The 19,971-nt window shown below is 54.4% G+C and overlaps 1 protein-coding gene across 5 annotated transcripts in view, besides 1 other annotated feature; it reads right to left on the reverse strand.

The window, feature by feature from the left end:
• Window positions 1-19,971, reverse strand: part of RASA3 (RAS p21 protein activator 3) — a 154,841-nt gene that overhangs the window by 108,332 nt on the left and 26,538 nt on the right. The window contains exon 1 of one of the 5 annotated variants that reach the window (XM_047430156.1): window positions 2,881-3,078. The exons of the other annotated variants lie outside the window; for them this stretch is intronic. Coding sequence (XP_047286112.1) covers window positions 2,881-3,067 — 187 coding nt within the window. The 5' untranslated portion in view covers window positions 3,068-3,078. Of the gene's footprint in view, window positions 1-2,880; window positions 3,079-19,971 lie in introns of those variants that run through there. 5 annotated transcript variants of the gene reach the window in all.
• Window positions 460-1,659: an enhancer, noted in NCBI's record as "P300/CBP strongly-dependent group 1 enhancer chr13:114852049-114853248 (GRCh37/hg19 assembly coordinates)". NCBI's record gives its function as "activates an origin of replication core promoter dependent on BRD2, BRD4, P300/CBP, MED14 and CDK7 cofactors, with strong dependence on P300/CBP, by STARR-seq in HCT116 cells {active_cell/tissue: HCT116}" and the evidence as "EXISTENCE:reporter gene assay evidence [ECO:0000049][PMID:35650434]".

Consider the following 19,971-nt stretch of genomic DNA (forward strand, 5'->3'; position numbering starts at 1 on the left):
TATCGACTCCCTTCGTCCTCGCGGGGAAATCCCGGGGAAGTGCTGAGTCTGGAGTATCGACTCCCTTCGTCCTCGCGGGGAAATCCCGGGGAAGTGCTGAGTCTGGAGTATCGACTCCCTTCGTCCTCGCGGGGAAATCCCGGGGAAGTGCTGAGTCTGGAGTATCGACTCCCTTCGTCCTCGCGGGGAAATCCCGGGGAAGTGCTGAGTCTGGAGTATCGACTCCCTTCCTCCTCGCGGGGAAATCCCGGGGAAGTGCTGAGTCTGGAGTATCGACTCCCTTCGTCCTCGCGGGGAAATCCCGGGGAAGTGCTGAGTCTGGAGTATCGACTCCCTTCCTCCTCGCGGGGAAATCCCGGGGAAGTGCTGAGTCTGGAGTATCGACTCCCTTCCTCCTCGCGGGGAAATCCCGGGGAAGTGCTGAGTCTGGAGTATCGACTCCCTTCCTCCTCGCGGGGAAATCCCGGGGAAGTGCTGAGTCTGGAGTATCGACTCCCTTCCTCCTCGCGGGGAAATCCCGGGGAAGTGCTGAGTCTGGAGTATCGACTCCCTTCGTCCTCGCGGGGAAATCCCGGGGAAGTGCTGAGTCTGGAGTATCGACTCCCTTCGTCCTCGCGGGGAAATCCCGGGGAAGTGCTGAGTCTGGAGTATCGACTCCCTTCCTCCTCGCGGGGAAATCACGGGGAAGTGCTGAGTCTGGAGTATCGACTCCCTTCGTCCTCGCGGGGAAATCCCGGGGAAGTGCTGAGTCTGGAGTATCGACTCCCTTCGTCCTCGCGGGGAAATCCCGGGGAAGTGCTGAGTCTGGAGTATCGACTCCCTTCCTCCTCGCGGGGAAATCACGGGGAAGTGCTGAGTCTGGAGTATCGACTCCCTTCGTCCTCGCGGGGAAATCCCGGGGAAGTGCTGAGTCTGGAGTATCGACTCCCTTCGTCCTCGCGGGGAAATCCCGGGGAAGTGCTGAGTCTGGAGTATCGACTCCCTTCCTCCTCGCGGGGAAATCCCGGGGAAGTGCTGAGTCTGGAGTATCGACTCCCTTCGTCCTCGCGGGGAAATCCCGGGGAAGTGCTGAGTCTGGAGTATCGACTCCCTTCGTCCTCGCGGGGAAATCACGGGGAAGTGCTGAGTCTGGAGTATTTATTCCCTTCGTCCTCGCGGGGAAATCACAGGAAGTGGTGAGTTTGGAGTATCGATTCCCTTCGTCCTTGTGGGGAAATCACGGGGAAGTGGTGAGTCTGGAGTATTTATTCCCTTCGTCCTCAGCGTATGTGATGGGATTCTGAATGGGGGCTGTGTTTATCTGGGCATAAAACTCCTGAAGATTGGCAGCAGGAGTCCACGCAGAGACCTCCTGGAGATGGGCGCGCTACACGAGCTTTTGAAATGAGCAAGTTTCCAGAGCCGGCGGGATTGCGGGGGCACCTGGGAAGGCAAAGTCACCTGCACCCGCTCTGCAGCCCCGGCCTGCGCCTCTGGAGGGAGGGCCCCGGGCAGTGCCAGCAGGAACGAGCCTGCCTCAGAGCCCCAAGTCTCAGTGGAGCTCCTTCCAGGCTGACATGGGGCTGACGGCTCCCGGGGCCAGCAGGGCGCCCGCCCGACACCACCACAACCCATTTCAGTGACAGATAACTTCAGACAACTTATCAGAGGGCCTTGGAGGGCCGGAGGCAGCAACACACACAGCCTGATTCTGGGAGCAGCATTTCCTTCCAAAAACCTTAAATCGGATAATGAGCCGGGCGCGGTGGCTCTTGCCTTTAATACCAGAATTTTGAGAGGCTGAGGCTGACGGATGGCTCGAGCCCAGGAGTTGGAGACCAGCCTGGCCAACATAGCGAAACCTCATCTCTACTAAAAATACAAAAAATTAGCTGGGCGTGGTGGCGCACGCCTGTAGTCCCAGCTATTTGTGAGGCTGAGGTGGGAGGATCACTTGATCCCAGGAGGTGGAGGTTGCAGTGAGCCATGATCACACCACTGCACTCCAGCCTGGATGACAGAGTGAGGCCCTGTCTCAAAAAAAAATAAAAGGAAAGAGAGACACATCAGTCACAGATACACACACAACAAATCTAAAATAGACATGTGAAGGCCTACACAATTAAGGAATAATATTTTGGAAATGTCAATGATTAACGTGCCTTTAGACTTAAAAAATTCTGCTGTGTGACTTATTTTCTAACACCTCAGCTGCACACCCTTGAGCCACAGTTCTGCTCACTCTCAGGGCCACATAAGGAAGGTTCTCAGTCTTCCCCGCCCTGGAGCTCCCAGCCATTTGCTCTGATCCCTTCTACAGCAATTCTCTTGGGCTCCTTCAAGTGTAAGCCTCTTGCCCCCTAGGGAAAGGAATGCCTGAAGAATCACACTTCGACTTCCTTATCTGAAGGCCATACTTGATGGATTTGAACAGATTTGCACATTTAAATTCCCAAATTAATTTTTTTTTTTTTTGAGACGGAGTTTCACTTTTATTGCCCAGGCTGGAGTGCGATGGTGCAATCTTGGCTCACGGCAACCTCCGCCTCCCAGGTTCAAACAGTCTCCTGCCTCAGCCTCCTGAGAAGTTGGGATTACAAGCGTGCGCCACCATGCCCAGCTAATTTTGTATTTCTATTAGAGACAAGGTTTCTCCATGTTGGTCAGGCTGGTCTTGAACTCCCGACCTCAGGTGATCCAACCGCCTTGGCCTCCCAAAGTGCTGGGATTACAGGCGTGAGCCACTGTGCCTGGCCCTAAAATTCCCAAATTAATTTTCACATGGTAAAATGTTCCCTGGTTACTAATAACAATAAATAAGATTATGGAAACAAAGTAGAGACGATCCGTAAGAAATAAATAGGGATTAAAAACTCCACCATATATGAAGTTCATAATTACCAGCACAGCGGTGCAGGGACAGCCCCCAGCTCCTCCTCCCAGGGCAGCAGAGCCTGGCGAGTCCCGAATCCCTGGTGGAGCTCCCCTCAAGCCTCCCAGCAGGGCTCTGTCCCCTAAGCCTTCTGCTCCTTCGCTCCTTCCTGCTGCACTTTCTGCTACTTGCACAGCAATTTCTAATAGTTCTCATTAGAGGGGCAGAGCAGCTGAAAAGGGTGAAGAAAATAAGAGACCAAGATGGCAGGGATGTTCGGAGGAGGAGAGAGGAGGGGAGACGAGGGGAGACGAGGGGAGACGAGCGGGGAGGAGGGGGGGAGGAGGGGGGAGGGGGAAGGGGAAAGCTGCAGAGAATGAAGGTGAGGACCTGGTGGAAACCTCACAGAGGGTGATTTGAATACAACCTGATCTTCCCTGGCATGGAGGGCAGGAGGCGGCCACCTGAGCCCCGCACAGGTGCCCGGCAAGCCCAGGCAGAGGACCAAGCAGAAGGTGCTGTCTGATCCAGCCGCAGAACTAAGGAACGCCTTTAGCCCCTGCTCCCAGCTGCAGAAGAGTTGCCCGGTGACCCAGGAAGCAGGAGGAAAGGGCAGGCCTGGGCCAGCCCTGCACGGACATCAGCCCTGCACAGACATCAGCCGCGCACGGCCGCCCCACAGCCTGCACACAGGTGTTCACGGCACGTGTGTGGGTGTCTTGATTGACACCACACAACTCCCTGCTTTTAAAGGGCACGATCCCGTGGTTTTTAGTGTATTCCGAGTTGAGCAACCGTTATCACGATTGACGCGAGCATTTCCGTCCCCCTGAACGAAACCCACCCTCCTCCCCCAGCCCCCGGCAACCACGAGTCCACTCTGTGTCTCTGTGGGTCTGCTTGTCCTGGACATTTCATGGAATGGGACCACACGGTCCTTCCCCTTCTGTGCCTGGCTGCTTTCACTGAACGTCCTGTCTTCAAGGTTCGCCCGTGCTTAGCCCGTCACAGCTCTGCCCATCTTCCTGGCCAGATGATATTTCATGTCACGGATGGAACGCATTCTGTGTATTTGTTAATCACTGATGGATGTTTGGGCTGTTCCCAGCTTTCAGTTGTTGTGAATGGTGCCGCTGTGAAGTGTGCACAAGTTCCCATGTGAACACGGACAGCTTTGGGATTCTCTTGATTATTTACCAACGGGTGGGGCCGCACGGCAACAGGTTTAATTACCCTAGGAGCCACCCGGCTGCCTGCCCAGGGCCGTGCCTTCACACCTGCCTGCAAAGCGCAAGCGTTACCATGTCTCTACACCCTCGTCAGCACTTGTTACTGTCTTTTTGGTTATATATTTGCTTTGAGTCAGAGAAATATCTGTCTTTAATTTTGTTTTGTTTTGTTTTATGATGGCAAAATGGGGGTACATGATTGTGGCAACAGTTTTGAGACAGTTAATATTTTTGGTGTAAGACCAGACAGATGAAGAAACTGTCTCTGAAGAGAAGGGACCGAGGCTCCTCCCTGCGTGGCAGCAAAAGGTCCACAACACATCACTTTGGGTCTCCTGTCCCAGGAGATTCCGCTTCCGACCAGGCAGGCTTGCCCCCTGAGCTCATCACAGCGTGAGTCTGGGTTCACATTGCCCACACTGGAGCATGGGCTGTGAAACTACAAGAGAAAAACACCTCACAGCAGAGAGCCCACGTGACAAGCACACATGCCTGACGGGCACGGGCGTCTCTGCAGCAGGCTCAGGCAGTGAACACGCAGACCCTTGCTTCCTCTAAATTCACAGGGCTGGCCCTCAGGTATGCGTAACAAAAAGAACGCCAGTTCCCTTTTCCTGGAGAAAATACAAGAGGTTCCAGAGCCTTAATCTACAACTCCAGTTCAAAGTTTCAAGTAGAAGGTGGAGAGAGGTGGGAACATTCTATTTTTGAAGGTTTCCCTATAAAATCTGTTACATACATATATATGTATGTTTTTTGGTGGTGTTATTGTTCAGTAATACCAGAAATGCATGGTAGAAAACTTTCAACTATAGGAGTCCAAGATTAAAAATTAAGAGTAGCCCTAAAGCCCCATGCCCATCTGTAGACGCACTCTCTAGAAATAACCACAGTTACTAATTTCTTAGTTTTTTGAGCTAGCATTTCAACTTTAAATAACAGTCCCATTGCTATTTCTTAGATCAACTTAAAATCAGCTGCTGGCTCCCTGCTGTGAAAGATGAAGGGTCTGGGGCCACATGGGTCCCCCTCCACTGTCATGTCCCACATTTCAGTGGAAAGGCTTCCGAGATTTCCCCATTTGGTGTGAGGTCGTGTCCCAGATTTCAGTGGAAAGGTTTCTGAGCTTTCCCCATTCGGTATGAGGTTAGCTATGGTTTTGTCATCAACAGGCTCTACCATTTTGAGGTATGTTCCTCTATACCCAATCTGTTGAGTTTTTGTCATGAGGGATGCTGAATTGTATCAAATGCTTTTCCAGCACTGACTGAAATAATCATGGTTTTTGTTCTGGGTTATATCCATGTGACCGATCACATTTATTGATGAGCAGGTATTAAACCATCCCTGCATTCCTGGATGAGTCCCACCTGTCATGCTGAATGGTCTTTCTAATGTGCTGCTGGCATCTGCTTGCTGGTGTCTTGCTGAGGACTTTTGTGTCTGTGTTCATCAGAGACATTGGCCTTTAGTTTTCTTTTTGTGTTGTGTCCTTGTCTGGTTTGGGTATCAGGTAACACTAACCTCACTGCTTGAGTTTGGAAGTATCCCCTTCTCTCCATTTGTTTGGATTAGTTTGAATATAATTGGTATTAGTTCTTTAAATGTTTGAATGATCCATCAGGGCCTGGGCTTTTTCTTTGCTGGGAGATTTTTTGTTCTGATTTCTACGTCTGTTCAGGTTCTGTTTCTTTATGGCCCCACCTTGGTAGGTTGTATGTGTCCAGGAATTTATAAAATTTCTCTAGGTTTTCTAATGTATTGGTGTATAGCTGTTCATAATAGTCTCTAGTGAGCCTTTGTATTTCTGTGCTATCAGTTATAATGTTTCTTTTTCCATCCTTGATTTTATTTATTGGGGTCTTATCTTTTTTTTTTCTTAGTCTAGCTAGAGCTTTGTCAATTTTATCTTTTCAAAAAAATCAGCTTTTCATTGTGTTGATCTTTTGTCTCTTTTGTCTCAATTTCATTCATTTCTGCTCGGATCTTTGTTATTTCTTTCCTTCTACTAATTTGGGGGTTGGCTTCTTGATTTTCCAGTTCCTTGTGGTGCATCACTAGGTTGTTTACTTGAAGTCTTTCTACTTCTATGACATAGGCATTCATTGCTATAAATGTCCCTCTTAGCACTGCTTTTGCTGTATCCCATAGGTTTTGGTATGTTATGTTTCCATTTTCATTTGTTTCAAGAAATTTTAAATTTTCCCTCTTAATTTCTTCCCTGACCCACTGGTCATTCGGGAGCATGTTGTTTAATTTCCATGTGTTTGCATAGTTTCCAAAGTTCCTCTTGCTATGGTTTCTAGTTTTTTTGATTGTGTTGAGAAAAGAGACTTGATATAATTTTGACGTTTTTTAATTTTTTGAGATTGTTTTGTGAGCTAACCTATAGTCTATCCTGGAGAATGTTCCACTTGCCAATGAGAATAATGTGTATTCTGCAGCTGTTGGATGAAATATTCTGTTAATGTTTGTCAGGCTCTTTTGGCCTAGAGTATAGTTTAACTCCAATGCTTCTTGTTGATTTTTCTGCCTGGATGACCTTCCCGTTGCTGAAAGTGGGGTGTGAAGTCCCCTACTATTATTGTATTACAGTCTGTCTCTCTCTTTAGATATATTAATATTTGCTTTATATATATCGGGGTGCTCTGGTACTGGGTGCATATATATTTACTATTGTTATATCACCTTGCTGAATTGACCTCCTTTTGTAGCCCTCATAAGGCTTATGAAAAACATTCAGTAGTTATAACAAGTTATTAAAACTGATACCAACTTACCTTTGATTGTAAAAAAAAGAGACAAAACCATGTACATGTTAACTCTCTTCTCCTCCCATATTTTGAATTTTTGGTGTCACAATTTATATTTTGATATTGCCTATCTCCTAACTAATTGTTGTGGTTATTATTTTATTAATTGTGTCTTTCATTCTTCTTACAAAAGATAGAAGTGGTTTACACACCATAATTACAGTATTAGTATGACAATCACATTAGCATCCTTTTCCTTTGGTTTGAAGAACTCCCTTTAGGGCTTCTTGTAGGACAGGTGTGGTAGTGATGAGTCTCCTCAGCTTTTGTTTGTCTGAGAAAGCTGCCATCTCTCCTTCATTTCTGAATGATAGCTTTGCTGGGTACACTATTTTTAGTTGACAATTGTTTTCCTTTAGCACTCTGAATATATCATCCCACTCCCTCCTGGCCTATAAGGTTTCTGCTGAGAAGTTGCTGCTAGGTATATTGGATCTCCCCAAAATGTTGTTTGCTTCTTTTCTCTTGCTGCTTTTGACATCATCTCTTTGATCTTTGAGAGTTTTTTGATTATAGTATGTCTTATTCTTATTTGGGTTGAATCTGATTGGTGACCTTTGACCTTCCTGTACCTGAATATTTCTATCTTTCTCCAGGTTGGAAAGTTTGCTGTTACTTATTTGAATAGGTCTTCTTCTGCCTTGTTTTTCTCAATTCCCTTTTTAACTCTGATAGCTTGAATATTTGTTCTTTTGATGTTGTCCCATAGATCTTGTAAGCTTTCTTCATTTCTTTTCATTTTTTTTCTTTTTTCTTCTCTGTGTATTTTCAAATACTCTGTCTTTGAGCTCACTGATTCCTCCTTCTATTTGATCAGTTCTGCTACTAATGCTCTCTCTTTCATTTTTGCATTTCATTCACTGTATTTTTCTGCTCTAAGATTTCCATTTGATTTTTTCTATTACTTCAATCTGTTAACTTTCTCTGATAAATTTGTAAATTCAGTCTCTGTTTTCTTGAAGTTCATTGAGCTTCCTGAAAACAGCTATTTTGAATCCTTTGTCTGAGAGATCACACATCTCCATCATCATGTTAGGGCCCGTCTCTCGCACCTTATTTTATCCATTTCGTAAGGTCACATTTGCCTGAATGTTCTTGGTGCTTGTGGATGTATGATAATGTCTGAATCCCAAGAGTCCCACAGAGAGACTTTTGACTGTGCATAGGTACAGAATTCTTGTTGTTGTGGGAAATATGAGCAGGTTACCTTCAATTCCACCACTCAATAAACTAAACATAGCATTACCATATGATCCACCAATTTCACTCCTAGGTATATACTTAAAAGAATTGAAAACTGGTGTGCAAATCAAAACAAACACGAATGTTCATAGCAGCACTATTCACAATAGTCCAAAAAGGTGAAAACAACCCAAATGTCCATCAACACATGAACGGATAAACAAAATGTGATATGTCATTTGTGGCTGCCAGGAGATGGGAAGTGATTACTTAAAGGATGTTCTTCTGGGGTGATTACAAAGTGTTGAAACTAGAGAGGGATGATGGCTGCACAGCATTGTAAATGTGCTAAATGCCACTGAATCGTACACTTTAAAATTCTTAAAATGCTGAATTTCATGTTATGTGTATTTTGCAACTTAAAAAAAACATGTTTACCTAAGTATTGATAGAGGCAACATTGGCAAATGTGAATGTGTTTAGTACACATGCATCACATTCTACCTGACATCCTTTTTTGGAGCAAGAAAGGGTATAAATAAATACTTCTTTTAGAGCTTATATTTAATTGTATTATTTTTATTTATGCATTTTGTTGGGCTATAATATACACTCAGTAAATAGAGCTCACACGTTTAGATATGTGCACAGCCACACAGTCAGTACCGAGACCGAGGCGCGGGCTCCCCCGCTCCAGAATCTCCTCTCATATCCCGCCCCACCTAAAGCTTAGCACTCTTCAGAGTTCTAGAGTCACCCTATTCTTACATCTCAGCTCAACAGAACCATGCAGTATGTACTTCATCTGCTGCTCTAGTAGGGGGTTAAAGGTGATGCTATTATTCTACCTTTCATTTTAATTCATGAAATGAAATAATTTTATAAGCGGAATTTACTATTTAGTAACCCATCAGTGAAGTTCACACAGGAAAGTCAGGATAAATGCTTGATTATTCCCTTTTATTTACTGGGTTTTCAAATAATGACTTGGCTACCTATCATCCTCCATTGGTGAATAATTTGGGGCTTTTCAGTAATTTTCTGCAATTATTTTTTATTGAGATGTAATTCACATATCATACAATTCACCCTTTAAGTGTAAACACAGTGGTTTTTAGTATATTCACAGAGCTATAAAACCATCACCACTAACTCCAGAGAATTTTCATGACCCGAAAAAGAAACCCCATACCCATTCCCACTCCCATCTCCCCTCCCTACAGTCCCTGGCATCCATTAATCCACCTTCTATCACTACAGATTTGCCTGTCCTGAACATCTCACAGAAATGGAATCACACATGTGGCCTCCTGCACCTGGCTTCCTTGATGCAGCCTCATGTTTTCTAGATTTTTCCATGCTGTAGTCTCAGGGCTTCACTCCTTCCTGCGGCTGATTAATGGAGACTTGTTTATGTCATGCACACACCTTCACATGCGTCCACTCACACTCACAAGTCATCAAAGAGCTCAAGCAGCAGGCAAGGCTCAGGAGAGGCACTCTGAGGGACAGGATGATGGGCCCGGCTGTTTCCAAAACCAGGTGGCTTGGGGCGACTCATCCAACCTCTCCAGGCCTCAGTTTCCCCATCTGTAAGCTGAGTGGCTGGGCCTCAGGTGACCCTGGGTCTCTTTCCAACTCCACAATTCTGTGATTTGAGCAAATAAGTCCAATCCTGAGTTTTGTCTCACTTTCTAATCCAGTAAAAGTTAAGCTATTGTGTTTACTTGACTCAGCAGAGTGTGTGGGGGCAGAGCAATTATGACATAAAACCACGATCCTCTTTGGTACTACAAGCTAATCAACGTTAATTTTTCACACAACGACTGGGAAAATCTGCCTACAGGAAGATGCCACCCTGGGTGGCACTGGTGTGCCGGGAGGGGGTGCTCTCCAGGTGGCCCTGGCGGCATCGGTGTGCTGGGAAGGGGGTGCTCTCTGGGTGGCCTGGGTGGCATCGGTGTGCCGGAAAAGGGGTGCTCTCCAGGTGGCCCTGGCGGCATCGGTGTGCTGGGAAGGGAGTGCGCAGGCCCACCCCGGCGTGCTGCCTGGGAGTCCACGTTCTCGAAAATGCAGGGTGACCCTGGCGCAGGATCGGGTCTGAGAGCTGCTCACCGACCCATGCCTCCTCTAGCAAATCGCCTCTCTCACAGTCACCTCAACAGCATCTCAGCCGTTGTCCGACACTGGGTGATTCTGCACGCCCGGCTCGGAACCCTGTGCATTGCCCATCTGTGAGCCGACCTCCTGCCTGAAGCCACCTTCTCATAGCGCTCAGTACTGGGGACCCTGGCCGGGAAGTTTGCACAGAGTATGAGCTCTGGCTGACCATCCATGTCCTGGGTACAACTCACCCTCCTCCGTGATTCAAACTGTTCCAGCCTGGAATAACCCGATTGCTCCTATGGGAACAACTGCTCCTTTCCAGCCAAATGACCCATTTCCCAAACGCCTTCCCTTTCCATTCTCTAAATACTGTAGCACCACACTGACTAGCGTGCGGGTCTCCACCACAGTTATGACCACCCTTCCCTCCTCGTCCCCCAAAGCACTCAACAGCTCTCCAGCACCCACCGAATGAAGCACTGACCCTTCAGCCAGGCTCTGGAGCCCCTACAAGCAACGTCCGTCTGTGTCCAGGCCGATCTCGCTGCTCCCTCGGACGTACTCGCCCTACACCCCAGCCAAACGCACTCCGTGTTTGCCAACATGTGCGCCTTTGAACATGCGTTCTCTCCGCCTGCAGTGCCCTCCTCTGTGTCTCAATCCTTCCCGTGCACCAGGCCACTCTGAGTCTGCTCCTCCACGAGGCTCCCAGATCACCCCCAAAGCCACCACACCTGTCCCTGAGTGTTCATGGCGTCACAGTTGTCACTGAGGCTGTGGCACTTCCCCTTCCACCAGGCACAGCAGCTATAGTTGTGTGCACACATCCCCTCCTGAACCGAGCAGTTCTCCGCAGATATGGGCTGACCAAATGAGCATCTTTAGAGCTAACTGGGAACTGTCCAGGGGCGAGAGGCCTGGGTGGTCTTAGTACTGTCACTCATCTCTGCTTCAGTTAACTTGAGCAATAAAATACCCTGCAGATAAGGTCAGACGGCAGGTGCCAGTGTGTCCTGAAAAGCCGCAAGTCTACAAGCAGCCGGCAACCTGCCCGGCTATGCTGTGTGCATCCCCACAGGGCGCCAGGAGCAAACACCCAAACACCCATCCTATTCCCGATTCAGGGCAATGGTCCAAAAGACGCCATCGCTGCTACATGAGACAGAACGTCACAGCGAAGAGGCAGGCAGCAAATAGATGCCTCAGGGCGTTTCTCAAAGAAAGGCATGATGCAGCCTGAAAACCCCACCAGAAGTGTCTTCCTGAAGCATCTAAACGCCCTCTGAGTTCCTTCTCCCAGAAGAGAGCAGTTACATGAAGCAGCAATCACAGAACGGAAGTGCCCGGCCACAAAGGCTGCCGTCCTTCTCCTCGTCCCAGTCCATCTTACAGAATGGCTCCCCTCTGCAGGGCCACACAGTTGCCCGGGATGCAGACGCTGAGACGGGAGCTGATGTGCAGGTTTCTAGGGCAAGAGGCGGGAGAGAGTGGGCAGCCGACAGGACGGGGGACGCAGCCTATGCGGAGTGGATGCCTCAGGAAGGCCCTGCCTGGGTCTCAAGGCCCCACCATGGGGTCTTGTCTCATTCGTGACCCTGTGCACGCCGTGCAGCAGTGCAGACGGCCGGGGCCCCACCACAGGGGGTCCAGGGAGACCACCAGCGAGAGAGTGGATACCCCTGGGAACAAAGCGGGCCCAGATGGAGACCTCAGACAAAGGCAGCTCTCAGCCCTCAGCTGAGCACGCCGAGGGGCTACAGCCCCCATCCAGGCCCAGGCCGGCTGCCAGCACAGAGAGGCCCAAGTGGACCCCAGGGCCAAAACCCCAAGTCTGGGGGCTGCAGGGGAGCACGGCACCTGGCTAAAGACACAGCACACAGGGCTACAGCGGGCAGCCTGTGGTCAACAGCTCATCAGCGACGAGCCAGGCCCAGCCAAGACAGCAGGAAAAAAAATCAAACGGGAGGCCATGCCCTCTACCCTGGGGGCAGAGCTGAGAGGACAGAGAACAGGCGGACAAGGCAACAGGGACCCAGGTGCGGGTCAGCAGGCGCTAAGGATCCCAGGGTCTGCGTGCCCAGCCAGGCCTCACACCAGCGACATCCAGGGGTCTGCACCAGAGCCATGGGGGAACAGAGACACGAACAGGTGAAAGTTCAGCAGGGCTGCAGGCGCCCAGGCCAGCCCTGAGGCAGAGACGTGAACAGGCGAAAGTGCAGCAGGGCTGCAGCCCTGAGACCTGGTGGGCTGGGGTCAGGACGTTAAGGGTGTGTGTGTGTGGAATGGGGCTGGCCGGCCCCCTCCCAACAAGATGTAGGAAACCCCATGGCCGGGATGAGGGGAGGCAGGAAGGGCAAGGGGCATGGAGGCCGGCTGAGAGTCCAGAGGAGAGACCAGCCCAGACCCAGGGAAGAAGGAACCCCGTGGGATGTCCCAGACAGCAAGGAGAGAGGCAGTGGAAGGCACAAGGGCGGGAGAAAGACCTCAGAAGGGATTTAAAGAATGAAGAAATAAAAGCTCTGAAATTTATTTTAACAGAGCTTTGGGCTACACTCTAACCTTTGCTTCAGCAGCACAAGAAAAAGAGGCTGCACAGAGTGGCCCCGCAGGCCAGAAGGCAGCAACGCCCACTGATGCCGGACCACAGCAGTCGGGGCCCGGCCACCCGAGCCCCCCAGACCACAGCAGTCGGGGCCCGGCCACCCGAGCCCCCCAGACCACAGCAGTCGGGGCCCGGCCACCCGAGCCCCCCAGACCACAGCAGTCGGGGCCCGGCCACCCGAGCCCCCCAGACCACAGCAGTCGGGGCCCGGCCACCCGAGCCCCCCAGACCACAGCAGTCGGGGCCCGGCCACCCGAGCCCCCCAGACCACAGCAGTCGGGGCCCGGCCACCCGAGCCCCCCAGACCACCCCTCCTTTTCTCAAGGTCAGAACAGCAGTGAAGGTCAGAGCCAGAAGCACAGCAGACGCTCCCAAGCCACAGGCAGCTGCTGAGGCCTGAGCCGGGGACGAAGCTCCTCCCTGCATGGGGACACGCGGGGCTGCAGCCACTCCCAGGCCTCCATCACACAGGGACGGTACAGAAATAGCGTGTCTTGTGGGTGGGTGCTGGGTCGGGGAGGGAGGGCGACTGCCTCTCCCTTTCCAGGCACATTTGGATTCCCCGGGGTGTCCGGGAATGACTCAGGCCTCTGGTCAGCGCTTCTCAGACCTGTGTTCACACAGCGCGTCTCCCTCCTTTCCCTCCCTGCCTGGGACCTAAGTACGGCTCTGTTTAAAACTGGCCCAAATGCAGGGTCAGCGCCTGAGATGCAGCCCCCACAGCAGCCCCCCCACAGCCCCCCCACAGCCCCCCCAGCCCCCCCACAGCCCCCCACAGCAGCCCCCCCACAGCCCCCACAGCAGCCCCCCCACAGCCCCCACAGCAGCCCCCCCACAGCCCCCCACAGCAGCCCCCCCACAGCCCCCCACAGCAGCCCCCCCACAGCCCCCCACAGCAGCCCCCCCACAGCCCCCCACAGCAGCCCCCCCACAGCCCCCCCACAGCAGCCCCCCCACAGCCCCCCACAGCAGCCCCCCCACAGCCCCCCACAGCAGCCCCCCGTAGCCCCCACCCCACAGCCCCCCCACAGCCCCCCTGCAGCCCCCCACAGCCCCCACATGCTCCACTCGATGCTCACACGCACAGTTTTATCTCCTTAACTCTAATGCTGTTTAAAAACTATTGTCCTAATCAAGCAAGAAAAACTGCAGGTTTGCAAAGCGTCTGCTCTGGAAGAGCGGCAGGCCAGGGTGGAGAGACCACACTGCCACACCTGAACACAGCAAGGCTTTCCAAACTCTGCGCAATAGGAAGACGCCGAATGGTAAATGGAGGAGCTCGCAGGAGACGCAGCTCTGACTCTGCCCCGCCCCGGCCCGCGGTGCTGAGGGCGCGCCGATGTGGATGCCTCTGTGCCAGCACCAGCGGCTGCCCCTCGGCCCCGACCCTCCCCACTGCGTCCTGGGGCACCCTCAGAGCTTCGGCCATGGGGTGCACAGCACCCTCCAAGCATTCTGAAAGGAGATTTTAGACTCTTGTGCGCAACACCCAGGAGCCGCCCGCCTGCAAAGCACTTGGTCAGCGTGGCCTGGAAAGGGGAGGAAGGTCCTGGAGGCAGGGCTCTGTCAGGCGGAGGACGTGATGCTCAGAGCAGCCAGGGACCCCCGTCTGGGCCCAGTCCCCCTGCGCTGCGCCCCACGGCTGGCTGGAAGTTTGTTCTGGAAACCACCTCCAAGACAAGTGCAGCAGCCGGCCCTAGCAGTTGGGAAGAAGGCGGCTGACGTGGCTTCCATGGAAAATGCCAGAAAGCACATCCCACACCAGGACACCTGGGCAAACAGCCTCAACTCGGAAAATCCCAGGCTGGTTCGGTCTCTCTGCTGCCCGGACCTGTTTAAATGTCCAGCCGTTTGGGAACTGTGTACCCTTCGAGAAACACTCCAAGGCCCCAGGGACACCGGAAGCCGTGGAGCCCGGGCCCCATGCGTCTGTGTTCTCGCCACCTGGAGAGGCTGCTAGTGACTGACAGGTGGACTGCGGGGCCTCAACTGCTACTGAGAATGCCACACAATTTTAAAAACTCAGAAATTGCTTATTTTTAGAATTTTCCATTTAACATTTTTGGACCACGGCTGACCACATGTGACTGAAACCGCAGGTGAGGGGGTGAGCGTCAGCCTGTGTCAGGCTGGACACACCTGGGGGCCTGAGGAGCAGCCGGGGGTGTAGGGACAGGGGCTCCCCACACCCACATGGATGGCCTGTGCAGTCACCAGCAAGGCGGGTTCTGCAGGCCTGTGTCCCGGCCAACGGCAGCCACCAAACCTCTCTGCACTTCTGTTACAGACAAGTCAGAGAGGCCCAGAAAAAGGGACCAAAATTGAAGAACCAGGGAATTTCAGAGGGAAGGGAAGGGAAAATCCAACTGGCAAGCAGACCCCTGGGCCATGTGCTAGGAAGGGGTTCTGCCCAGCGAGGTCTACCCCCAACCAGGACGGGTAGGCAGTGGCCCCAGCACCCCCTGCACCCCCACGGCCCACCAGGGGACTGCACCTCTACAGGAAGGACAGAGGCAGGAGGAACCCCTCAGGGCTGGAGAGTTGCCAGCCACTGCCCGTGCTGGGCCCCGCCCTGAGACAGTGTCTAAGCACCACCCCATGGACAATCCGAACCTGGAGGGGCCTGATCCCGGCCCTGACCCATGCCAGGGGCCCCAGCCGGCACTGCACGCCGGAGATCCGGGCTTTCCTTGGCAAACACGCTTGGCTGTCCTCGTTTCCAAGTCAGCCCTGTTGGTAAAACAGTGAAGCCAGCAGTGAAATACACGAAACCCGAACAGCCCCGGAGTTGGAACTGGAAGCTTCCAGGGAAGACGGCAGTGTCTAAGTGTCTCCCTTAACTGCTGTGGCTGCACCCGGGGTCCTGGGGGTGAGAGGCTTGTGGGCCCTGAAGTCACCTGCTGGATTCCAAAGTGGGCCATGCCAATGCCGTCTGGAAAACATACGGAAAATGTCATTCCCAGGAAATGTGGCACATCATTCACCCTGGACCACGGCACAAGGAAATCAACTCACCCTGGACCATGGCATAAAGACAGACGGGGCCCTCTCATCAGAAAGTGGGGAGCGGGGGTCTCAGTTTCCAAGGACCCCACAAGCGACGTCTACAGGGTGAAAGACCCCGTGCCCAGCACCGAAGGACCTGCCCGACACACAGTCCCCAGCCTTGAGCGGAGACCCCCAGACTGCATACAACTGTGCAAATGCACTTGACCTCCCTTTGGTTGTGAGTCACAGGACTGTCTTAAAAAGAGTGTCTTCTTCCAGTGCCAGAAAACAGAGAGACGGGGGCTGTGAAGCACAGGATCCACAGCGGGCGGGTGGTAGGCGGGCAGCAGGTGGGCGGTAGGCGGGCAGTGGGCAGGCAGCGGGCTGAGAAGCAGAGCAGAGCCCCAGCCAGGAGCCCAGAGGGCGGCAGAGCAGCGGGCACCGAACCAGACTGTCGGACCTGTGCTGGGGGAGAGCGAGAGTGAAGGAGGAAGAGAGACGGAGACAGAGAGACGGTGAGAGGGAGAGGGACAGAGAGGGAGTGAGAGCGCTTCCCACAAGAAGAACCAAGCTCAGGTCCCACCCTCCCCCAGAGCCTGGTGCAGCTGCGTGGGACGGGCAGGAGGTGCGAGGGGCCCTGTCTCTGACGTTTTGTGCCAGCACTGCCCTCTACACACAAACTCTCAGGAACCATCACGACCCCATTTTGCAGGAGAAGATGCTGAGGCCCAGGGCGGTGAGCAGGCCACATGGCCGGTGGCAGGGGCAGAAGTGGGACTGCAGCCCACCAGGTGGTGTCACAGCCAAGGCTGCGGCGTCACTGCCTGTCCTGCCTCACCTACCCCCAGGGCGACGCTCCCGACTAAACCACCTCTGTCCTATGGTCTCCGGGGCTTCCTGACCCCTGGGGAGGGCGGCAAAGCCTGTGGAGGCTGGAGTCCTGTGGGCTGGGGACGACGGGAAGACCAAGTCGTCTGTATAATCGCCGTGGGCGCAGCCGGCAGTGCCACCCACCCACCCACAAGGCAACACGGGGCCTGAGTCCAGCCCCAGGCAGGTGGGCTCCCAGAGTTGGGGTCCCTGAACCAAACCACCCCTGCTGCTCGCTCACCCCTAAGAGTGAGGCTGCGATGCTGTCAGCCAAGGACACTCACGTGGGCAGCTCCGGTGCAGCCGGCCCCAGGGGGAGAAATGCAGCTGTGGCTGTCGTGGAGGTGGCTGTGGCCAATGGCCGTGACTGTTGCTGTGTCTGGCAGAGAAGCCAGGTGCACTGGCTCTGTGCTTCAAGGAGACCTAGAGGGTCTCCCCCAAGTCCACCGGAAATGTGTGCACATTCGCCCTACCCCACTGTGTACCTGGCCCAAGTCGGGAGAGATGCCCAAGAGACCACAGCCAGCCTCAGCACAGTGAAGGCTGCCCTGGCCCTTCGGGGTGTCTGGGAAGAGCCTGGCATTCTCTCTGGGGTAGCTCTCACCCTTGCAAAGCACAGAGAACACCAAGAGCCCCAGACACACACTACATCCAAAGGGAAGGTCGGGCGGCTCCCAGACGGGGGACGGGGGGACGGGGGACACAGAACCAAGCCGCCGAGGAGCACCTGACACCGGAGCCCGAGTCTCGGCTCAGCACCACCACCCCCGATGCGTCCACACTGCCACGGCCACAGACACCCACCCCCGATGCGTCCATGCTGCCACAGCCACGGACACCCACCCCCGATGCGTCCACACTGCCGCCGACCACAGACACCCACCCCTGATGCGTTCACACTGCCCCCGGCCACAGACACCCACCCCTGATGACACCGGAGCCCGAGTCTCGGCTCAGCACCACCACCCCCGATGCGTCCACACTGCCACGGCCACAGACACCCACCCCCGATGCGTCCATGCTGCCACAGCCACGGACACCCACCCCCGATGCGTCCACACTGCCGCCGACCACAGACACCCACCCCTGATGCGTTCACACTGCCCCCGGCCACAGACACCCACCCCTGATGCGTCCACACTGCCCCGGCCACGGACACCCACCCCCGATGCGTCCACGCTGCCACAGCCACGGACACCCACCCCCGATGCGTCCACACTGCCGCCGGCCACAGACACCCACCCCTGATGCGTTCACACTGCCCCCGGCCACAGACACCCACCCCCGATGCGTCCATGCTGCCACGGCCACGGACACCCACCCCCGATGCGTCCACGCTGTCACGGCCACGGACACCCACCCCTGATGCGTCCACACTGCCACGGCCACGGACACCCACCCCTGATGCGTCCACACTGCCCTGGCCACAGACACCCACCCCCGATGCGTCCACGCTGCCACGGCCACGGACACCCACCCCTGATGCGTCCACACTGCCACGGCCACGGACACCCACCCCTGATGCGTCCACGCTGTCCCCGGCCACGGACACCCACCCCCGATGCGTCCACACTGCCGCCGGCCACGGACACCCACCCCCGATGCGTCCACACTGCCCCAGCCACAGACACCCACTGGTGATGCGGCCTGAGATGCCACCACACCCTGGCCAGAGGCTCAGTCCACAGCCCATACCCCATGACCTGTACCCACAAAACCTGCAGCTAGCAAGAACCGGCCTCTGCCTGACCCTGTCATCAGGGGCGGGAACTCCGGTGGCGGGCACACCCAGCGCAATTACAGGGCGAGCATCCGATGCCCTCCTAGTGGGCCGGCCACAAAGCCTCTCATCAGCCACCCCGTGGAGAACCACAGCCAAAAGCCTGAACCGCACAAGATTTGGCGTCTCAATGGCACCTTCAGAATAGGAGAAAATAGCAAATCGAAACTTTGGTTTTCCGTTCCTTATTTACGACTCAGGACAAGACTGCCTGAGAGAGCAGCAGACTCCAAGTGCAGGCTGCAGTGCAGTGTCTGTTCTGGAGGGGGGGCTACCGCCTCCCCAGCCCACACATGCTCACCCCTCCCTCCCCACACACACGTTCACACCCTCCCCACACACGCTACCCACTCCCCTCCCCACACACGTTCGCCCCCTCCCCTCCCCACACACGTTCACCTGAGCATTGCCCACACCAGCGTCAGCAGCCCTCACAGGAAGGGTGGCCCCCAGGCTCTCGGCCCCCCGAGCCCAGCTTCCATCTCGGGCCATAAACACCCTTTGGCCAATTGGCGCACCCTCCTCCAACAGACTATGACCTCCCCAAGCCCCAGAATCCCTGGAGATGGAGAGCACGCCTGGCCCCCAGTCAGGGCAGGTAGTCTCCAGGGCCAAGCCGTCACCTCAGAAGGGTGGGTGGGGCTCTCCCCAGGAGGAGGGCAGGTCCGGGACTGGGAGGACGACCCCCACGCAAGCCCCCACCCTGCCCTTGGGCTCCAGCCTCATCCCCAGCAGCCGCCAGCCCTCTGAGATGCCAGGGTGCCATGGACCCTGCACTGAGGGGTGCTCACTGGGCAGCCGTGTGACCAGCAAGCAGAGGCAGGTTCACAGCAGCAGTGGAGCTCTCCAGAGGCAACTCCACCAAGGGGTGCCGCAGAGCTCTGTACCCCCAAATTTATGAGGAGCCCGGCTTTGGGAGGGGACACCTAGGGGAAAAGGGCTCAGGAGGCCTCAGCCAAGGAGGAGCAGCACTGGCAGCCCCCCTCCTCCAGCACGGGGACAGGGACCACCGGCATCGAAGCTCCTCACCTGCCTCCTGCCTGACAAGGCCACAGGCACATCCGGGGCCAGCACTGACCAGACGCTCCCTCCGCCTCGCTTCACCCAGCCTGAGGCTGGACGGGAGGCACTGGCGTCTGCAGCACATCCACAGCATTCCAGAAACGACAGAAACCAGGCCAGGCTCTGAGCAGCCCGTCCGTTGTCCTGACACCTGACCATGACGGCATATTTACGGTGTCTTCTCAATCTTTGAAAAATATTTTTAAGAGAACATGAGAACAAATCAATATTCCAGTGGCCTAAGGAAGTCAGCTAGCTGTGAAACTATTACGGTAAGCTACACAGTGGGGGAATCAGCGTGGGGGAAAGGAAGCGGGCATTCCACAGTGCAAGACTCTGACACACAGAGCGTCTTGCACCCGCCCTGAGCTGAGCAGTCCTGACCCTAAAGAGCTGCCATTCCTCTGGGGCCACGGCAGGAAATCGCAGGCACTGAGTGGGAGGAAGAGGATGACCGGGTGTTGGGATGGGTGCACATCGCAGAGCGG

This window comes from Homo sapiens, chromosome 13 (assembly GCF_000001405.40).
Source record: "Homo sapiens chromosome 13, GRCh38.p14 Primary Assembly".
NCBI classification, from domain to species: domain Eukaryota; kingdom Metazoa; phylum Chordata; class Mammalia; order Primates; family Hominidae; genus Homo; species Homo sapiens.